The sequence below is a fragment of the Homo sapiens genome, chromosome 17, assembly GCF_000001405.40.
Source record: "Homo sapiens chromosome 17, GRCh38.p14 Primary Assembly".
Lineage (NCBI taxonomy): Eukaryota > Metazoa > Chordata > Mammalia > Primates > Hominidae > Homo > Homo sapiens.
The window spans coordinates 37,817,592-37,839,263 of NC_000017.11; the positions used below are offsets into that span (position 1 = coordinate 37,817,592).

Consider the following 21,672-nt stretch of genomic DNA (forward strand, 5'->3'; position numbering starts at 1 on the left):
CCTGCTAATTTTTGTATTTTTGGTAGAGATGGGGTTTCACCATGTTGGCCAGGCTGGTCTCGAGTTCCTAACCTCAGGTGATCCGCCCGCCTTGGCCTCCCAAAGTGCTGGGATTACAGAAGTGAGCCACCACACCCAGCCCAGAAAACTTTTAAATGAAGCCAGGGTTAAAATGCCTATTAGCAGAAATGGCCCAGACTGAAAAAAGGTGTGATCTTTGAACAAGTGCCTTAATTCCTCTGAGTCTCAGTTTTCTCATTGGTAAACAGGGAGAATTTAACCAACCTGCTAGGAACCTTAGAGAGAGTAAATGTAACACATGCAAGGCATTTAGCCTATAACTAGCACTGAGTAAATGCTGTTCTTCTTCTAGACAGGAGGCTAAGGGGGTAGATTCCTACCACTCTGGAGGAGAGAATCCAGATCTGGGATGAGCTACAATCTGGTCATAGGGGCCAAATGTTATAGCAGAGAGAAGGGGTATGTTAAGTTCTGCTAACTACCCAGGCCTAGGTGTGAATGGGGCTTCACGGTCTTGACAAGGAAGGCAGGGCCTTAGTGAATTACAATCATCTATTGTAATAGTAAGGTTCTGCCTATAAAAGTGGAAAATATAGACAGCATGGAGCAACATAAAAAAGAAAATATAGGCCAGGCGCAGTGGCTCATGCCTGTAACCCCAGCACTTTGGGAAGCCAAGTTGGTTGGATCATGAAGTCAAGGATGAAGACCATCCTGGCCAACATGGTGAAACTCTGTCTCTACTAAAAACTACAAAAAATTAGCTTGGCATGGTGGCGCACGCCTGTAATCCCAGCTACTCAGGAGGCTGAGGCAGGAGAATCACTTGAACTCGGGAGGTAGGGGTTGCAGTGAGCCGAGATCGCGCCACTGAACTCCATCCTGGCGACAGAGTGAGACTGTCTCACAGAAAAAAAAAGAAAATATAAACTAACTTAGCTCCAGAGAGAGCCACTATGAATATTTGATAGTATTTATTTCCAGCACTTTTCTCTCTGTAGTTTCTGCTTCCCCAAATTGTCATATTTTATACTTAATTTTGTAAACTGATTCTCCCCACTAGTTTATCATTGTATCAGGATCATCTTCCAATGTCATTAAGTATCTTTTGAAACACAATTTTCAGCGGCTGCATAATATTGTGTTATGTCAGTGGTTCTCAAGCTTGAGTGTGCATCAGAGCCACCTGGTGAGCTCCTTCAAACAGATTTCTGGGCCTACCTCCAACACTGTTGACTCAGCAGGTCTGGGGTGGGGCTCTGAGATTCGGCATCTCTGACACGTTCCCAGGTGCTGCTGCTGGTGTTGGTCCAGGGATCACACTTTGAGAACCTCTTGTTTATAATCTGCTTCCTTGTCTGCCACCCACTCCAAATGCAGGGGGTGGGGCCAGGGACCATGACTTAAACACCCCTGAATTGAATGCCCTGTGGCTAAAGCAGAGCCTGTCACATAGTGCCCTTCTGAGTCCAGGGTCCTGAAGCCAGCCTGCTGAGGAAGAGGAATGACATCTACCCTCTGTGGCCCTGAGGCTGACTGGGGCTCTATGAATGGAAGTAGCAGGGAAACTGAGTTTGGTTCTGCTGTTTCTAGCAGTCAGCAACAGAACCTACGAATGCCACGTTCAGCGATGCATTCTCTGTTACCAGAGATATTTCAGCACAGGTGGTGATGGCTCGGGAATTTTGCAGTATTTGAGGGTGGGTAAGAAACTCCACTGTCCACTTCAACCTTAAGTTTCTGTCAGTCTGAGTTCATCAAAGCAAAAGAATGGTGAATCATTTCTGGAGACTTCATGGGAATGGGGATTGGACCCTAAAGGGTGGGCAGGATTTAGAAGGCAGACAAGGAGAAGACAACCTCCAAATAGTGTTTGGTCACTGGTGGTGGTGGGGTTGGGGGAGCGGGGTTGTGGGGAAGCATGTGCTAATTGATGAGTTAGGTAAATCAAACTTGGTAAACCTGGTTCCTAGAACTCCTATGTGTAATGCATCGCCCTTGATTTTCCAGAGAAATTCAAAAGTTAGTAGCTAGCCAAGATCAGAGCTATTTGGTGCAGAGCAGTTGCTATTGCTACCACTTATTCTCCCTCTCCCTCCTTCCCCCTCTTCCTCCTTCTTCTGTTGAAACCATGTGAGTTTCTACTTCTATCAGGTGTTAAAGTAGTGCATTCCTGCAAAGCTGACATTTTAATAAGAAATAAAGATTGAAATCAGATTTCACGTGAAGTTTGAGACATTTTAGGGCCAAAATCTCCTTCTCAGCCTATCCACTGCGGCTCATTGGTGCTTTGTTGTATTTTGTTTTGTTTTACAGACAAGGCTGAAAGGCAGGGGAGTGGATGTCTAAAATCCGGTGTCTGATGTTCTGTGATTTTATCACAACGTACTCATTACAAAACGGCATAGAAACGCTATTTGCAATTTAGTCCAGGATAAAGATCCAGGGCTCAATTTGTTCTTTGAATAGGTTTTAGAATACACTGGAGGATTAGAGACAGTTTTTTGATGAAAAATTTATTTCCAAATACTTTCCAAATTTACAAGGTATAATTATAATAGTAACAGCAACAATGAAAAACAAGTCCTGCAGTTTACTGTCTCTTATTTGCCAGACCTTAATCAGGATGCTTTGACACCCATAATCTTTGTAATCTAAAAATGACACAGTGAGGTGGGCACTATATCCTCTTGTTACACATGAGGCTCAGAGTTTACCTTCCTAAGCTGACATAGCTGGGCTGTTACTACATCCAGCCTTGTGCGCCTACAAGTCCTTTGCGTTTCCACTTCTGATCTGCCAAGACTGCAGTGCTTAGTTGGGTAGATTTCTTTCCCCCGCTAAGCTCACTTTTGTGATCAAGAGCTCTCTGCTGAGTCCTTTCTGTATCTGTGACAGTTTCCAGCCAGAGCTGCCCAGTATTTTTAGGTACTTGAAACTAGATTAAAAAAATATTCACTTCCTTCTGGGTGGCTCAGGAAGTCAAAAAGCAGTTTTCATTTTTTTTTTTGTTTAGTAGCACTTAGCTTTGAGTAGTCAGGTCACCTGGGGGTCTTACTGGGGACTTGATGACCTTAAAGGCTAGATCTAAGGACCTATGAAGCACTCCCGCTTGAAAGGAGGAAGAAGAAAACACACAACCATTTGTAGGAGGAATAGTGGAGATGGACCAACCCAGAAACTGTATTTCAGAATAAATTCATTCCTTTGTGCTTCAAGGCCCCTCATACTGATATGATGTCACCAAAGCTGCTCCAGGGCTGTGACCTGCTAGTCATGGCCCTGGGGCACATCCCTTTGCTCTCCTTCTCAGCATACTGCAGCAGCAGAGGTAGGGTGTTAGGGGGTGTGCAGATTCATCCCTTTCTCTAGACTATGAGTTCTTGGGATAGGGTAGACCACATTTCCCCAAGGAGTTTGTGGGTATTCAAGAGAAAGTGGTTGCCGAGCACAGGGAATGGGCAGTGGGCTAGAAGCAGCCACCTTTTCAGGGCTTTGCCTGGGGACTTGGAACTGCCTGGATTAGTCACTAGGGAGAGTTTTCAAAATCTTTATGGTGTCATGATTTGTTAAATCTTGTCCACATCAGAGCCTGTGGTTTTTCTGAATGCCTTAGAAAGTTAGCCTCTCTGGCCAAGTGCAGTGGCTCACACCTGTAATCCAAGCACTTTGGGAGGCCAAGGTGGGAGGATTGCTTGAGGCTGAGAGTTCGAGACCAGCCTGGGCAGCATAGAGAGATCTCATCTCTACAAAAATAAAAAAGACTGGGCGCGGTGGTGCATGTCTGTAGTCCCCACTGCTGCGGATGCTTGAGTTTGAGGCTGCAGTAAGCTATGAAGGCACCACTGCACTCCAGGTTGGGCATCAGGGCAAGATTCTGTCTCAAAACTAAATAAATAAATAAGTAAATAAATAAATAAATAAATACAGTTAGCCTCTCCTCTGTGGCCCCAGAGCTCCTGTACATATACTTGTCTCAAGACTTCACATACTGACTCCTTCATTCAGTGAGTGCTTACTGAGATCCTACCAGGTGCTGGGCACAAGAATGAACAAGACACTTATGGCTCCTACCCCCATAGAGTTTACAGACAAGGGGAGAGGCTTATAGTCACCTGGACCGAAATGGTGCCCCCAGTACACTGTGAGCTCCTTGAAGGTACAGATCGGGTTGTATTGAGTTTTGCAAATTTTCATTTATTTTATTTTAAACTTTATTATGTAATTTACATGCCATAAAATTCACCATTTTAAAGTGTACAATTCAGTGCTTTTAATATATTCACAAGGTTGTGCAACCATCACTTCTGTCTAATTCTGGGACATTTTCATTGCCCCAAAAAGAAACCCTATGACCGTGAGCAGCTGCTCCTGTTTCTCCTCCCCAGTCCCCAACAGATAAGATGGTAATCACTCATCTATTTGCTATTCTATGGATTTGCCTTTGGACATTTCATATCTGCATATGGACATTTCATATAAATGGAACCATGCAATATGTGGTCTCTTTGGTGGACTTACTTTAACTTAGCATAATGTCTCCAAGCTCTTCCATGTTATAGAATGTATTACTACTTAATTTCTTTTTATGGCCCAATATCCCATTGAATCCATTGCATAGAGATACTACAGTTATCCATTTATCAGTTGATGAATGGTTCTACTTACTTTTTTCTTTTTGAGGCAGGGTCTCATTCTGTCACCAAGGTTGGAGTGCAGTGCTCCAATCACAGCTCACTGCGGCCTCTACTTCCTGGGCTCAGGTGATCCTCCCACGTCAGCCTTCCAAGTAGTGGGGACTACAAGCACACGACACCATGCCCAGCTAATTTTTTGTATTTTTAGTAGAGATGGGGTCGCATCATGTTGCTTAGGCTGGTCTCCAATTCCTGGGCTCAAGCAATCCACCTGCCTAGGCCTCTCAGTGAAGGGATTACAGGTGTGAGCCACCACACCTGACTGGTTCTATTTACTTTCGTATTTTGTCCCTTAATATCTTTCTCCCTCCCTCTTGCCCTTCCTTCTTTCCTTCCTCTCTTCTCTAGTCCTCCTTCCTTCCCTCTCTCATTCTTTCTTTCCTCTTTCAAATACTTGTTATTCCACACCTACCATGTTATGGACACTGTAATGAACCTTCTGGTAAAGGTTCCAGACTAAAGAAAACGAAAAAGCACCATTTTAAAAAAGTTTTAAATAAATGCTTTGTTTTAAAATAGTTTTAGATTTACAGAAAAGGGCCGGGTGCGGTGGCTGACGCCTGTAATCCCCACACTTTGGGAGGCCGAGGTGGGTGGATCAACTGAGGTCAGGAGTTCGAGACCAGCCTGGCCAACATAGTGAAACCCCATCCTTACTAAAAATACAAAAATTAGCCAGGCGTGGTGGCGGGCACCTGTAATCCCAGCTACTTGGGAGACTGAGGCAAGAGAATCGCTTGAACCTGGGAAGCAGAGGTTGCAGTGAGCTGAGATTGTGCCATTGCACTTCAGCCTGGGTGACAAGAACGAAACTCTGTCTTTTTAAAGTAACTCTCTTTTTTAAGAAACTCTCGGCCGGGAGCAGTGGCTCACGCCTATAATCCCAGCACTTTGGGAGGCCGAGGCGGCTGGATCATGAGGTCAGGAGATCAAGACCATCCTGGCTAACACGGTGAAACCCTGTCTCTACTAAAAATACAAAAAATTAGCCAGGCGTGGTGGTGGGCGCCTGTAGTCCCAGCTACTTGGGAGGCTGAGGCAGGAGAATTGCTTGAACCCTGGAGGCGGAGCTTGCAGTGAGCTGAGATCGCGCCACTGCACTCCAGCCGGGGCGACAGAGCAAGACTCCATCTCAAAAAAAAAAAAAAAGATTTACAGAAAAGATGCAACAGGAGTACAGAGTTTGTGTATCTCATCCCAAGTTTCCCCTATTGTTAACATTTTACATTACTCTAGACAAGTTCAGGGTGGTGTGGCCATAGACTTACATTACTGTAGTCCATTTGTTGCAACTAAGGAGCCAGCATTGTTACACTACTGTTAACTAAACTCTACACTTTATTCATATTCCACTAATTTTTCCTAATGACTTTTTCCTATTCCTGGATCCCATCCAGGGTGCCACATTGCACTCAATCATCGTGTCTCCTTAGCCCCCCAGTCTGTGACAGTTTCTCAGGCTTTCCTTGGCTTTGGTGACCGTGACAGTTTTGAGTAGTAGGGGTGAAGTTCTTTGTAGAACATCCATTGCTTTGGGTTGTTCTGATGTTTTTCTCCTGGTTAGGCTGGGGTTACGGTTTTCTGGGGGAGGACCACCCTAGAGGTGAATAAAGGCACCATTTTTAAATTGCTGTGAGGTGCCCTGAACTAAGAAGTGAGACCAAATCTACCAGGGCTATTCAGAAAAAAATCAGAGAAATCTTACTTTTGAGGTCTTTAAATGGTAGTGGTGGGGTATAGAAGGATTCCTTGGAAATTTTTTCCTAAGGAAGTTGTTTGTTGCCTATCATCATGGTGGTGACTAAATGAGCCTTTATCTGACATATAGACAAGATTTGACATTTGTTCTTTTCCTCCCCATTGGCTCTAGAGTGTGGCCTTGGGTGAGTCAAGCCTTCTTCCTTGGCCTCTATAGAATTAGGAAGTTGGAGCTAATGACCTTGGAGGCCTCTTTCCACTGTAATGGCTTATGCTATAATAGGTGGCCCATAACTCCCCTCAACATCTGTGAATTCCAAAGTTGGGCTCCCCTCTGCTCCTCTATCAGTCCAGGCTGTTTGTATTCAGGTGACATGTGCCCCTAGGGACGTGGCCCACCCCAACCCCCTTTTCAAAGCCTTCCTTGCAGACAAACACACACACAAAAACAAGCCCTAGATATTTGCAGCATGGATCTCCACTTCGAGGCACTCAGTGAACATTCCAGGGCAGCAGTGCCCAGAGCCGGACCCCTGCCCTGGCCATCCCTGCAGCCCTGCTGACACAGCACAAGAGCCAGCATGGCCAGGGTCACAGGCAGACCTACACGCCACACCATGCTGGAGGCTCTTTCACCCCAAGGGGCTGTTTTGGTTCAGCAGCTCCTGTGTCTTGAATAAGTTAATCACTGATGACAAGAGATTAATTTATAACCGGACAGCAGACAAGATAGTTCGGGCTTTGGCGAGGTGGCACTGAACTGTGGCGCAGGGCATTGCTCAAAAGACACCTGGGTCTGCAGCTTGGTGCAGAGGCTGGGAACTTCAGATCCTCACCGGTTCCCCAGAGGCCACTTGGTCCAAAGAGAGGAAACACGTGCTGAGGACTTCTGTTTCCTCTCTCCAGCACATTTACTTGTAGAAAACATGTCCAGGCAACAGGCAGGCCCGTTAGAAAAGTCCAGTTAAGAGAGAGCACCGGCATGCCAACCCAGCCCAGGCCCATTGGAGGAAGAGGGAGAGGGGTGGGGAGAGAGGAAGTCATGGAAAGATGTGGAAGGATAGATGGGAGCCTGGGGTGAGAGCTCATTCCTACAGCCTGAGTCACCCAGCGTGTGGATTCTCCCCTCCAGCTCAGGCAGGGCTCAGGCAGGTCTTTGAGGATCTGCCCTCCCATCCCACAGGCATCCTCTCTGTTGTTTCTAACGTTAACCTCCTCATTCTGGGCTCAAAAAAGAAAAAAGATGGAAGTGCAGCATGATGTGCAGGCCTCTCTGGGGCCTGACCTTCATGCTCCAGATACTGCTTTTATATTAAGTAAGGTGACCCTTCTCTGCCACACTGGAGATGCGTGGCTGTAGATATTGGCTTTAGGGACTACTATTTCTGCCAGCTTCAGCAGTCTCCTATATCCAGCCAGGATAGTTTAGAGTTCTTAAATCAGGCCTATTTATCAAAGAAGTCCATGGCAATACTTCCCTGATGGCCATGGGACCTCAGGAGCCCACAGTCTAACTAGAGAAAGAACATGAGAAAGAGGGAGACAGGAAATGGGACTGAAAATAGGATGGAAGCTGCATGAAAAATGGGGGTGCAGAGGAACTCCTCTGGGGACTGCCAAAATATGGGCTTCTTACCTAAAAGGGCTCTGGGAGCCCAGCTGAGTGGTGGGTGACTTACGCTTGATCGTCCCCCAGGAATGGATTCTTGTCATTTGGATTCAACCCTGCTGCCCTGTCCCCATTTGTTCACCCCATGTGCACCAATGTCTCTGTCTCTGTCTTTGTTTATGTCATTCCCTTGACCCAGAATGCCCTTCCCAGCCATCAAGACCTGGCTGGGACATCATTTGTGCTGGAAAGCCTTCCACAGATCTTTATGTGGGACCTCCTTCTCTTTGGTCCCCGTGCTTCTTTGTATCTATTGCAACAGTATCTGTTGGTTCTGATAGGCAGATTCGTGTCACCTGGGGGACCTTGTTAAATACACAAATCCTAGCCCTGAATCACAATCTCTTGGGGTGGGTTTTGGGAAGCTGCTTTCATTGGTCTTCATATGTGTTTTGAATGCCTAGCCAGGGTTGGATATGTCTTTTCTGGACTGTGTCTCCTGGGGGTGGGCACAGAACTTACATCATGGTGACCACATGTCACTGTGCCCAGACAGCCTCCTAGGCCTGGCAAAAAGGGATGCAGAGTGCAAGGCCCACACCCTTTAATTCACACCATTTTAATTCATTCATAGTTCCTGCTTCATGCCCCAGACACTATGCTGGGTCCTGGGGATACAAGAGCAAAACCCAACATAGTTTGCCTTCACACGGCTTCCAGTCTAACGGGGGGAGAATAGAGGTGACTCAAATTCCCTACACCCACATAATTACAAAGTGCAGCTTGAGTGTTGTAAAGGAAAAACAAAGGTGCTCAGAGAACCTGCAATGGGGACTCTGATGTAGGCTGGGAGGTCAGGGAAGGCTGAGGAGAGCCCGAAAGGAGGGGCAGTAAAGGAGGGGAGGGGCTGGAAACAGTCTCTTACTGGGGTCTTCTCAGAACTGTGTTCATTTAGGCCAGCTGGGAGGCATTAGGGTGTAAGCTCCTCTACAGACACCCAAGATCGTTTCCCCATCTTCTCCCCACGCCTGCCCCGCCACCCAGCCTTCACTTCTGCTTTCCTGCCATCTGCTCTTGCTGTGAGCCTTTGGGAGCTGTTGTGTTTGTTAACAAAGGAAAGACCCATTTTTCCATGCTGAGTGGCTGCCTGCTAGCATATACAGTGCCTCTACTGAATTACCAAAAGGTGCACCTCCATTTGAACTGACCTAACCTTGCACTGAACACATGACTTGGCCGGTGGAGCTCAGGCTGGATTTAAGCAGCTACTCCTGCCTCCCCTACCCACTTTTGGCCCAGTGCCCTTGTGCAGTGAACAACTTGGACAACCTTCTGTAGTGGCCCTGCTGCAGTCTCCTCTTAGGCAGAAAGTTCTGGCTTCTTGGCTCACCCTCACAGCTAGAAGATTCCTTTATCCCAGAAGGAGATAATTACATCTTCTATGGCATAAATCTGTTTGGACATTTAGAGAAGAATTTATATGTATTTTCTGAAGGACTGGGTGTTTTTCTGATCTAAATTGAAATGATGATTCTTTTAAATATGATCCAAGAGAGTCCTTTCATGTGGTAATTCACACACACTCTGGCTGATAAGCCCTAGACTTGGCAAAAGGTTCAAAGCAGAAACTGGGTTCAGATGAGGCACAGGGATACTTTTTGATCTGATTTTCTTCTAGCCACTGACATTGGGAGAATTTTGGCCTCTGAGTGGCAGTGGGCCCCAAAAAGCCTGGTAAAGTAAGATCTTTTTTTTCTTTCTTTTTTTTTTTTTTTCTTTTTTGAGACAGTCTTGCCCTGTCATCCAGGCTGGAGCACAATAGTGCAGTCTCGGCTCACTGCAACCTCTGACTCCCAGGTTCAAGTGATTCTCCTGCCTCAGCCTCCTGAGTAGCTGGGATTACAGGTGCACACCACCATGCTTGGCTAATTTTTTCTTTCTTTTTTTTTTTTTTTTGTATCTTTAGTAGAGACGGGATTTCACCATGTTTGTTAGGCTGGTCTCGAACTCCTGACCTCGTGATCCACCCGCCTCGGCCTCCCAAAGTGCTGGGATTACAGGCTTTAGCCATCGCGCTGGGCCAAAATAAGATCTTTTTAAAGAAAGTCTGAAATGCCTAGAAAGAGTAGAGGAGTCCTTACTACACTTGGCTTTAGAAAAAGAAGCCTTTTCTGGGAGAAGATAACTCTCATCACACACTAAGCAAGTCAGAGGATCTGAGCTGGAGTGGCCCTTGAGAGGTATCTCATCTAGATCCTTCTTTTTACCCTTTGGAAAACTGAGGCTCAGAGAGAGGAAGTGGATTGGCTTAGGTCCCACAGTGAGTGGCAGAGCCAGGATCACACCTGACGGGTGCTTGCTTCTGCACCTGAACCTTGAGGGTCGCTGTTCCCCCACATAGTAGTGCCAACAGGGTCCCCTATGAGGATGGTGCAAGCTCAAAGGGTGGCTGTGTGTGGGAATGGTGAGAAGGGGACATCATCTAGGACCATAAATCATGGTGTCTCCTCAAGCCCAGTGTGGCCCCTCCTCTTCCAGATACAGAAAGCTGCTTCTGCTACTTAAGGGACAGGCATCATCTTCAAGAGGTAACACTAGGAATAGAATGAGAACTGGGAGTGGTGGAAGCGGAAGACAGAAGCTGATCTTATGGACACAGAAGAGTATGTAAGTGAATCACAGGCCATATCACAGTTTCATCAGTGATTATAATAATTGGTTTTGGGCTGGGGGAGTATTGGTTGTCAAAGTGACATCCTCTTTTAGGTGCCATATTTTTCCATGTCTGACGTCGGAAAAAGCACTTTCAGTTGTGAGGATAAGATGAGCTCACAGGTGCTCAGGAAATGGCAGCATCTCTTGAGAGATTCTGTTAAGGAAAGTGGAGGAGGAAGGGAACTAGATATAAATCTTCTCCTTTAATACTTTCAGGAGGTATGGTTCTCCTTATCTCACTGAAAAGGAAACAGGGCAAATTTCCTGCCCAAGGTCACACAGCCCAAATGTAGGGAAGCTCAGCTCTTCTGATTCTGGGCCATTCCCCCCACTTCACCTTGCAGTGCCATGCTAGCTTCTCTTAGACTTACCGTTAATTTCCATCAGTTTCAGCTGACTCATCCTTTCCTCCCAGGCCCTGAGACCACACCCAGGGTTGTTTGTTTTTAACTCTAAGATCATCCTGTTTTCCATAGGCCTGAGCTCCATCAGCAAGCCAGGACCCTCTTCTGATCCATACTCCAAAGTCAGCATAAACATCTCCAGCCAAAGCTGTTCCTTGTTCTGTCAGTAACACAGTTCCCGAGGAGACCAGGGCCTCTTTCCTTCCGTTGTCTCCTGGTTGCTCTGCTTCTGGTGACGAAACAGGGGCAGCGTCAAATGAAGAACATCATCTGTCCTACAGACTAGGCAACTGTGAATTTTTCATCAATCCTGATTTCTCTAATGAATTGCAACATGCTCTAACTCCAACATTCAAAATTCAACATTTCCATTCCCTATTTGTTAAGGGTGCAGGTGAATATGAAAAGGCAAATTCAAAAGGTGAACTTTCCTATCTCTGAAGGGCACATGCAGGAGCCTGAACCCGGCTGGGAGCCAGGAGACCTGCATTTTGGTCCTGACTCCCTCCCTGCTGCCTGTGTGCTCTTGGGCAAGTTGCTTAATCATTCTGGGTTTACGTGCTTGTTAAGGACTCTTTCAGTGCAAATATTTTATAATTATAAACACTGAGAAGATCCTGTCAATAATGTAGTTCCTTTGTCATGCTAAATGTCACACATGCATCATGGCCTATGATACCTGATGAGTTTAGAATTTTTTCTTGATTGGAACAGGGATGGGTGTTTAAAACAAAAGACTTGAGTCCTTTCCAGCTGGGGCCCTGAGTCTGTGGGTTTGGTAAGTCAATTAGGCTGCAGAGTCACAAGTAGTTTACCTTGTCAAAATACTAGCCATTTGTTTAAAATCAAATCCTCAAGATGGAGTGGTATTTCCAAACTCCACTGAGTTGGAGCCTCAGAACTAGAGAACTGGATAATGGAGTTAGTCCAGCACATACTTCTGCTTTGCTAATACCTTCCGTTTTTGTCTAGTACCCCTTGGTAGTGAAATATCTGTTCTGGGTCTTTCCAAGGACAACCACATCCGAGTGGGGAGAAGGCCGACATTCAGGGTGCTGGAAGGGTGGGGTGGCATGATTCAGATCAACAGGGCTGACTTTCCACTGTTTCACCTCACTTGCACTGTAGCCACCAGTTCTGGGACTCCTCAGTTGACAGATGTGGAGACCCAGAGTCAAGGAATGATGTCCCCTAGGACCCCTGGGGAATTTGACACAACCACAGTCAGCACCTGGCTGCCATCAGCCTAAGGCTGTCACTCGAGAGGGCTTCCTCTCCAGATGAATACAAGCTGACTTGAAGGGTAAAAGAGTCTAAAAAACATACGATTATCTTAAGAACAACTTTAACACATGTAAATAAAGACCCATAGATTTTTATTTCTATTTTCAGTCAAACACATATCAAAACCCGGCATGTTTTCAAACACCACGGCGGATACTTGATTTGTATTTCCTGAAGCCACCCCAGTGAGCCACTCTGAAATAAATTAAAAAGAATGGTCAAGGCTGAATGCACACTGAGGTTTCCATGTGCTCAGCTCAGCAGATTCAGGTATGACCCCTACAGAGCTTGGACTCTGAACTGGCACTGACATTCTCTACGCTCAGCGACCATTTCACACAATGAATTCATCTGTGTAATTGTGCCTAGCTGTCCCCAGATTAACTCCATGTTTGCATGAAGATCAAAATGCTTACTTTTCAAAGTTTGGTTTTCTTCCATTTCTGTCTTATCTGGGGAGGCATTCATGCTTGGAATTTCCTGGGCTTTTCTTTTTTAAATCTCATGGAGAGACTGAGAGTGTTAAGGGGGAAAGAGTAGCAGGCAGGGGCAGGGGGCTTGCCTTTTATTGTTCTTTTTTTGAAACAACAATTGGCAATTTTTCTTCACTGTTTTAGTGTTCTCTTGTTAAAGACAACCCAGACCTCAGAGTAATAGCATTCTTGCTTGCCCCCACCCCTAAATCCTACCTTAGTCAGAACATGAGCTAGAATTCTGCATCATTAAAAAAAAATTCAGCCGAGGCAGGTAGATCATGAGGTCAGGAGTTCGAGACCAGCCTGGCCAACATAGTGAAACACCGTCTCTACTAAAAATACAAAAACTAGCCAAGTGTGGTGGCACGTACCTGTAGTCCCAGCTACTTGGGAGGCTGAGTCTGGAGAATCGCTTGAACCCGGGAGGCAGATGTTGCAGTGAGCCGAGATTGTGCCATTGCACTCCAGCCTGGGTGACAAGCGAGACTTCATCTCAAAAAAAAAAAAAAAAATTCGATTGGGTTGTCAGTTACATAAAGAGTGCACGACTGAAGTACCTACCTTGATAAGTACTTATGTCTGCTTTGCTTATACCTTCCGTTTTTGTCTAGTACCACTTGGTGATGAAACGTCTGTTCTGGGTCTTTCCAAGGACAACCACATCTGAGTGGGAAGAAGGCTGACATTTGGGGCGCTGGTAAGGTGGGGTGGCATGATTCAAATCAGCAGGGCTGACTTTCCACTGTTTCACCTCACTTGAGCTGTTCTAGGAGAAATATTGGAAGGCATGCTGCACCTTTCTTCACAATGGGATCGGCAGGTGAAAGCAAGACATTTGAATGGAGTGGAGTGTTTCACTTAATCATTAGCACTGCTGACATCAATAAAAAACAAATAATGCATATCATCAGCATGAGCACCTACAGTGAGTGGAAAGGAGGCCAGGTTCTTAGTAAGCTTTATGATGAGGTAGGGGACAGATGGGATTCAAAGCGGAGCCGAGGAAGCAGTGTGGCTTGTATTTCAGCTGCAGCGTACAATTATTTTTGTGGTCGAAGAATCCAAACTGCGCCAGCTATTTCAAAACAACATCAGGAGGGCAGAGGTGTGTTTTCCAGCATCCCCAATGGGTGCCAGGAGACAGCCTTGAGAACAAACACATCTTTTCTTGAAATAGGAAGCCAACTATTTAGCTTATGCAAGTAATACTATAAAAAGGCATTGTAAGTTGACTTGCAGCTCCTGAGCTTTGGACCAACCTCTAGACTTGTTTCAAAAGGCTCTTTCTGGAGGAAGAAAAGTCCTGAGGCTCTCAGGTCAAGCCCTGGCTCCAACAACAATTTAAATCAAGTAAAAGCCTCCTTCGCCTATAGGTTGAACCAGCCCAGGCAAACACCATTAAGACAGCTTCCAAACAAAGATGACAATATTACCATTTCAGCCTGAACCTGGTTTCAAAATTCATTTTGTGAAATGTTTAAAGTTGGACAAGCCAAGCAGAACTATAGCATTAATGAGACCCTAATGAAAATTCATGCATTCAACTCATTCATTCAACAAATATTGAGTGGGATGTGCCAATATCTATTGACTGGGAATGTGTAGTATGACTCCCTGGCATCATTAAATGTGAATGTGAATGCAAGAGCAGCTGGTATGGTTGTGCTTTCTTCACAAATTTTGTTCAGCTACACAGGATCAGGTGCCAAATAAGCAGAGTTGGATTTAACCAGGGCTGTGGTTTCGGCAAAGCAGCGTGAAGTGAAGGAAGAGAGAGTTGAGGATATGCAAGGAAGTGATGGAGATGAATAATTATGGGATTGAAAAGTGAATTTTATTTTATGTTTTTGAGACAGGATCTCTCTCTGTCATCCAGGCTAGAGTGCAGTAGCGGGAATATGGCTCACTGCAGCCTTGACCTCCTGGGCTCGAGTGATCCTCCCACCGCAGCCTCCTGAGTAGCTGGGACCACAGGTGTGTGCCACCACTCCTGGCTCATTTTTGTATATTTTGTAGAGATGGGTTTTCATCACATTGCCCAGGCTGGTCTTCAACTCCTGGGCTCAAGTGATCTGCCTGCCTTGGCCTCCCAATGTGCCGGGATTATAGGCGTCAGCCACTGTGTCTGGACTGAAAAGTGAATTTTATTGAAAAATAATTTTGTTTTTTAATGAGTAATAGTCTTGGGTTTTACTTGCATTCTAAGCCTAACACTGCCATCTACGAGCTGAGTGATCTGAAGCAAGTCACGCTTCCTCTCTGGGACCAAGTCACTTCTATAAAATGAGGTGGCTGGACCAGGAGCACTAGAAGATAGAGAGGATCTGTATATGATTGAATGAGTCATATGAGGTCCCTCCTGCTGAAGGTCATGGGTCCAGTTTTCTTTCTGCTTTAGTAGACTGGGAGCAGTAAGTATAGGATCAGTTTTTTGTTTGTTTTTTGTTTTTGGTTGTCTTTTGTTGTTGTTGTTGTTGTTGTTGAGACGGAGTCTCGCTCTGTCACCCAGGCTGGAGTGCAGTGGTGCGATCTCGGCTCACTGCAAGCTCCGCCTCCCAGGTTCAAGTGATTCTCCCGCCTCAGCCTCCCGAGTAGCTGGGACTACAGGCGCCTGCCACCACACCCAGCTAATTTTTTGTCTTTTTAGTAGAGACGGGGTTTCACTGTGTTAGCCAGGATGGTCTCGATCTCCTGACCTCGTGATCTGCCCACCTTGGCCTCCCAATGTGCTGGAATTGCAGGTGTGAGCCACCATGCCCGGCCTGTTCTTTCTTTTTTACTGGGGTGCAGAAAGAAACAAGACTCAAGGGCTTGTCAAAACTTCTATGCATGTGAAATGATAGAAGTTCACTTAACAAGAAGCGGCAGTGACCAAATGACTCAGCACCCGATTTCCACCGCATGGTCTCTTGAACAGCCGCGAGAAGACTAAAGCCTTCTAAGCACTTCCGGTGGAAGGATGGGCCACAGGCCAGCAACATGGGCAGGACCTGGGAGCATGTTAGATGTGCAGAATCTCAAGCCCCATCCCAGACCTACTGGATCAGCATCTGCATGCTAAGCAGGTGATCATGCACATGTTAAAGTGTAAGAAGCCCTGCTCTAACTGCCCCATCCCGTGGTGCAATGAGGCTCGGTGTCCCCACAGAGCAGTCAGCAAGCCAAGGTATAGTTATGGGAAGACTCATGCCAGGTAGGACTGCGGAGCTGGGGTGAGTGACATGGGCACAGGCCTCTGCAGAAGCTTAGCTCTGGTTCCCCTAGCAGCAGCAGCTCAATTTGGAGGGACTGAAGGGGAGGGGGTATTGGATGGTGGTGTTTCTGTTTCACTTTACTGTCCCACTGACACTAGCACTGGCGGGAGAGATTTTCTCTATAATCTGCTGAAACCTGAGAAGGAATCTGCAAGAATAAACAGAGCCTTTAGAGCTTACCAATTCTGATATTTGGAGGCCTTTGCAAGGTTTAATTCAATTTATTATTTATTGATGACCTACCGTGTGCCAGATATCAGGAATACAAAGAGAATAAAATGTCCTAGTGTTGTATTGGGAAGGGAGGGTCACATTCTTGCATGTGTCTGTGTTTGGAGATGAGATGAGTCGGGGGCAAACCTGCAGCAATAGAGCAACTGCATGCCCAGTGTCACCTGGGTCCCGAGGGGCAGGACGAAAAACAGGTTAAGGAAGGCTTCCTGGAAGAGGTGGCTCCTAAGCTGTTAAGTAGGCTAAGAAATGCTCTGTGCATGAGCTAACCCATTCCATACACTCACCACACACACTCACTCACATGCACTCACACACAAACTCCCACCCACACACATCCACATCCACACACACACTCACATGCATGTATATCTACTCCATCCACACACACACTCACATGCACTCACATACAATCTCCCACCCACACTCACAATCCGCATCCACACACACACTCACAGCATGTATACGTACTCCATCCACACACACATATAGGCACATTCACACCCACCCACATATGTGCACATGCACCTACACACACACACACCACACATTGTAGTCTTTCTGGGGAAACAGAGAAAGTCACTCTTTTGAAGAACCTCAGAAACTGCACAATAAGAGCTCTTCTTAATTTGCCACCAAAACTCAGATAAAGTTGAAGGTCTAACTTCCAAGAAGATCTTCTAGACTGTTTTCCAGATTGTTATAAATGCACCTTCAGACATGAAGGAGCACCTCACGGTTGCACTCAGATACCTCCTGGGATGTGATTTAGTCTTGATGATTATCGTTACATGTCACTGAATATAGTTTGATGAAAACGTTTTAGGGAAACAAGTTTTCAGAAACTGTCCCCAGATTTATTATAGTAGTCGTCAACTCTGAGGATGCATTTTTTGACTGGGCAACTATTGTTGGGGGTCTTATACCTGACTTGGAGAGGTGTGTTTGTGCCTTTTAGGTAAGATGGGGAATAGAGGGTCCCCAGACTTAAGAGCTATGTGTGATATTTGAGATAAATTGATCCTTAACATTTTTCCCAAGTCAGAGTTCTCATTATTTGTCTCCTAGATGCCAATAGAGTAAAATGCAAAATGGCTCACCACATGGTCAAAGCCCCTCCCTTTCAACTGGCCACATCCTGGCTTTCCCATGCTCTTTCTACTGAACCAAGCTCTGTGTTCCAAGAAATCACCCTGTCCTCAAATCTCTGTACCTTGTTCTCTGCCGAAGCCATGCCCAAGCAGTTCCCTTTGCCTGGTATGTTTCGCTCTCCCATTTCCCCGCAATACTGCCTGTCAACCTCTTCAATGAGAAGTTCCAGCCCCACCTTCTAGAAGCTTCCAGAAGCCAGTATTGGGCTTTGGCATTAAACAGCCTGTAACAAGGAATGATCCTGCCCCAAATGTCGCTAGTGCCAGGTTGAGTCACTCTGTCATTGACAGGGTAGACTCTGAGTATGTGGGTCCTTTTGAGCCCGTTTTCTAATCTTTAAAAAAAGAGGGAGGGGAAAATATTTACTTCACACTTTTATTTAGTTTTTCAAAGATTAAATGAGATAATGCTAGTGAGTTTCACTAGCATATAGGAGATAGTCAAGAAATATTTCAGTGGATAATGGCATTTCTCTCCTGATCAAGTTGGATTAACCCTCTCTTTTCTACAGTCTGGAACGTTCTGTACCTTACATAGCTGCCTTGGATCTGAGGTTTCTGTGTTTGTGAGGCGGGCTTATCTTGGTCTCTTGCCTGGTGACTTTAGCATAATCCTTGCTCAAAACGTTAAATTAAATGAAATAGATTCTTTGGGTATCACTCTTTTTTTCTGCGAAATTCCTTCTAACAGCCGCTGAGCCTGAAGACAACAAAAGCTGCCCAGACTTTTCTCCTGGGCTCCAGCCCCTCCTGTCTGCCTGCTCAAAGGAATCTCAGCGCGCAGGTCTCACAGGCACCTCAAATCCAGCCTGTGTAAACCTGAGCTGCCTGTGTACACACTCCTATATCCTAGAACCATGGTTCTCAAATGTGGGTGTTTTTGCCCCCCAGGTTACATTTGGCAGGGTCTGGGGATATTTTTGTTTGTCACAACTAAGACAGATGGTCCTTCGTGGAGTCTTGTAGACAGAGGTCGGGGGTGCTGCTGAACATCCCACAATGCATAGGACAGTCTCCATTACAAGGAATGATCCTGCCCCAGGTGTCACTAGTGCCGGGTTGAGAAATCCTGATCTAGAGGGAGACTTTACCTGGTAGGTCAGGCCATGGTACCGCTCTGCTCACAATCCCCCATGGCTCCCACATCACTCAGAGTAAGATGCATACCCTCCGGGTGGAGGACACGGCCTGCAGGGTTCCACTTCCCAACCTGCTGAGCCCCGACTTATCATCGCCCTCTCTCCCTTTCCTCCACCCCTTCTCCTCTTTCCTGCCTTGCTTGTCTGCCCTGCCTCCCACCGTGCCTCCACTACGCCTGCCTCAGAGCCTCGCACCAACGTTCCCTCTGCTTGGAATGCTCTTCCCTCAGTCACCCAAGTTCATCCCTTGCTGCCTTCAAGTCTCTGCTCACATGTCACCTTTCCTGCAAGGCCATGCCTGCCCACCCCTTTTAAAGCCGCAGCCCTTCCAGGCATGCCATCCTTCTTGCTTGCTATAGGTTTTTCCATTGCACTGATCACCTTACAAATGGGTTTATTTATTGTATAATTTTCTCTTCCCACTAGAGTGTAAGAGCTACAGGAAAGGGATATTTTTGTTTTGTTCACTGATATTTCCCACTGCCTAGTGCTCAAAAAATATTTGCTGAATAAGTGAATAAATCAGTATCATACTGTCCCCAACTTGCTCATCTTACCTCTATTTTGTAACTGATCTATGTAACCACCACTTAGCTGACATCCTAGTGTCAGAACCCAAACTTGAGTCTTCCCTTTCTCTGTCTTTTTTATTTTTTGAGATGGGGTCTCACTTCTCACTATGTTGCCTAGGCTGGACTTGAACTCCTGGGCTCGGGCGATCCTCCCACCTCAGCCTCCCAAGTAGCTGGGACTATAGGTAGGCACCATTGCACCCAGCTTCTCTCTTTCACAGCTTTATTGAGATATAATTCACATAAAATAGAATTTATCCATTTAAAGAGTACAATTCAATGGGTTTTGGTATATCATAGTTACGCAAACAACACTGCAACAATCTTTGAATATTTTCTTTCTTTCTTTTTTTTTTTTTTTTTTTGAGACAGCTTCTTGCTCTGTCACCCAGGCTGCAGTGCACTGGCGCAATCTCGGCTCACTGCAACCTCCGCCTCTCAGGCTCAAACGATTCTCCTGCCTCAGCCTCCTGAGTAGCTGGGATTACAGACACATGCAACTACACCCAGCTAATTTTTTGTATTTTCAGTAGAGATGGGATTTCACTATGTTAGCTAGGCTGGTCTCTAACTCCTGAGCTCAGGTGATCTGCCTGCCTCGGCCTCCCAAAGTGCTAGGATTACAGGCACGAGCCATTGTGCCCAGCCCAAATATTTTCATTATCCTCGAAGAAACCCCATATTCCTTAAACATCGCCCTCCAGCTCCCCCACCCCCACCGCCATTTCTCCTCATCTCTGGCAACTACTGATCTATGTGCTGACTCCATGGGTTCTCCTGTTCTGGACATTTCATGTCAATGGACTCATACAACATTCTTCACTGGCTTCTTTGACTTAGCACACTGTGTTCCAGGTTCATCCATGTTTTTGCCTATATTAGTATTGCATTATTTTTATAGCCAAATACTATTCCATTGCATACAGGCACAGCATTCTGTTTATCCATGTATCACTTGATGGGCATTTGGGTTACTTCCAGTTTGGGGCTACTATAAAAATGCTGCTTTGGGCTGGGCGCAGTGGCTCACACCTGTAATCCCAGAACTTTGGGAGTCTGAGGTGGGCGGATCACTTGAAGCCAGAAGTTCAAGACCAGCCTGGCTAACATGGTGAAACCCTGTCTTTACTAGAAATACAAAAATTAGCTGGGTGTGGTGGTGCGTGCCTGTAATTCCAGCTACTCAGGAGGCTGAGGCACAAGAATCACTTGAGGTTGCAGTGAGCGGAGATCAGACCACTGAACTCCAGCCTGGGTGACAGAGCCAGACTCTGTCCCCCTGCCTCAAAAAAAAAAAAAAGAAAAGAAAAGAAAAAAAACCGCTGCTCTGAACATGCTTGTCCATGTTCTTGGGTGGACATATGCTTTCATTTCTCCTGGGCATGAACCTGGGAGTGGGGCTGCTGGATCATCTGGTTACTCTGTGTGTAACCTTTTGAGGACCTGCCACTTTTTTTTTTTTCGTTTTCTCTATGAATCCACATCCAACTCATAAGTATGGGCTGTGTTTCTCCCTCCTGAATCTGTGCTCACTTGCATCTGCACGGAAACCACCTCTTCAGTTCATACCTGGAAGGCTACAGTGCCTGCTAATGGGGATCCCTCTCCACTTGGTCACCCTCGCCTGCACAGGGGAAGGAGTTTCCCCTTCTTGATGCTGAGGCCACACCCCGGCCCATTCAGGGTTGCCTCTGGAGGTGGGACCCAGGCATCAGTGCTTCCCAGAGCTCCCCGGGTGATTACGACGCACAGCCAAGCACCCGCTTCCTTCTGATCCACATTTTATCACCTGCCACCCAAGTGCCTCCATGACAGCAAATCTGATTGTGTGATCTGGATTCTTCTTAAAACCCCTGTGTGGCTCTCCACGGTCTCCACAATAAAATCCAAGCTCCCCAGGATGCACATGCATCTCGGTGACCTGTGTCCACTGCCACCCGTCTTGCCTCCTTCCTCTCCCTGACCCACGCTGCACATGCCACGCTGAGCTCCATGTGCCTGCCCATCCACACCTCCACGCCTTGGGACAGACTGGTCCCTCTTCCTGAAGTGCCTGTTCCCATCTTTCATCCTCCTCTAGGAAGTCTTCCCTGACTGCTCTCCCTCAGCGGGCTGTAACTGTGTTCACTGGCCTCTAGTCCAGGAGCGCCTCAAGGCCAGGGCTGGGATATCACTCTTCTCTGGATCCTCAGCCTGTAGCTGCCTGACTCATGGTAGGTGATGGGTTCTTTCTTTTTTTTGGCATATGTATGTTGGGTGGTGTGATGAATGAAGAGGTGAGTGAATGAACCTGGCCTATGTAGGAGCCGTGACCAGGTGCAATCCTACCAGCTGCCCAACTGTGCTCTCCTGAGTCCTAGCAATAACCCTGGGGGCACTCAGCAGGGCCTGCTCAACCCCCGACCTGGACCAGCGAGACCC

At 46.4% G+C, this 21,672-nt stretch overlaps 4 annotated features.

Annotated features, from left to right (window-relative positions):
- Window positions 7,198-7,492: an enhancer, noted in NCBI's record as "tiled region #14078; HepG2 Activating non-DNase unmatched - State 8:EnhW". NCBI's record gives its function as "activates a minimal TATA promoter and a strong SV40 promoter by Sharpr-MPRA in HepG2 cells {active_cell/tissue: HepG2}" and the evidence as "EXISTENCE:reporter gene assay evidence [ECO:0000049][PMID:27701403]".
- Window positions 7,198-7,997: a biological region, named in NCBI's record as "Sharpr-MPRA regulatory region 14078".
- Window positions 7,250-7,997: an enhancer, noted in NCBI's record as "H3K27ac-H3K4me1 hESC enhancer chr17:36184461-36185208 (GRCh37/hg19 assembly coordinates)". NCBI's record gives its function as "activates a minimal SCP1, AML or CMV promoter by ChIP-STARR-seq in primed H9 embryonic stem cells {active_cell/tissue: H9 hESC(primed)}" and the evidence as "EXISTENCE:reporter gene assay evidence [ECO:0000049][PMID:30033119]".
- Window positions 8,747-9,494: an enhancer, noted in NCBI's record as "H3K27ac hESC enhancer chr17:36185958-36186705 (GRCh37/hg19 assembly coordinates)". NCBI's record gives its function as "activates a minimal SCP1, AML or CMV promoter by ChIP-STARR-seq in primed H9 embryonic stem cells {active_cell/tissue: H9 hESC(primed)}" and the evidence as "EXISTENCE:reporter gene assay evidence [ECO:0000049][PMID:30033119]".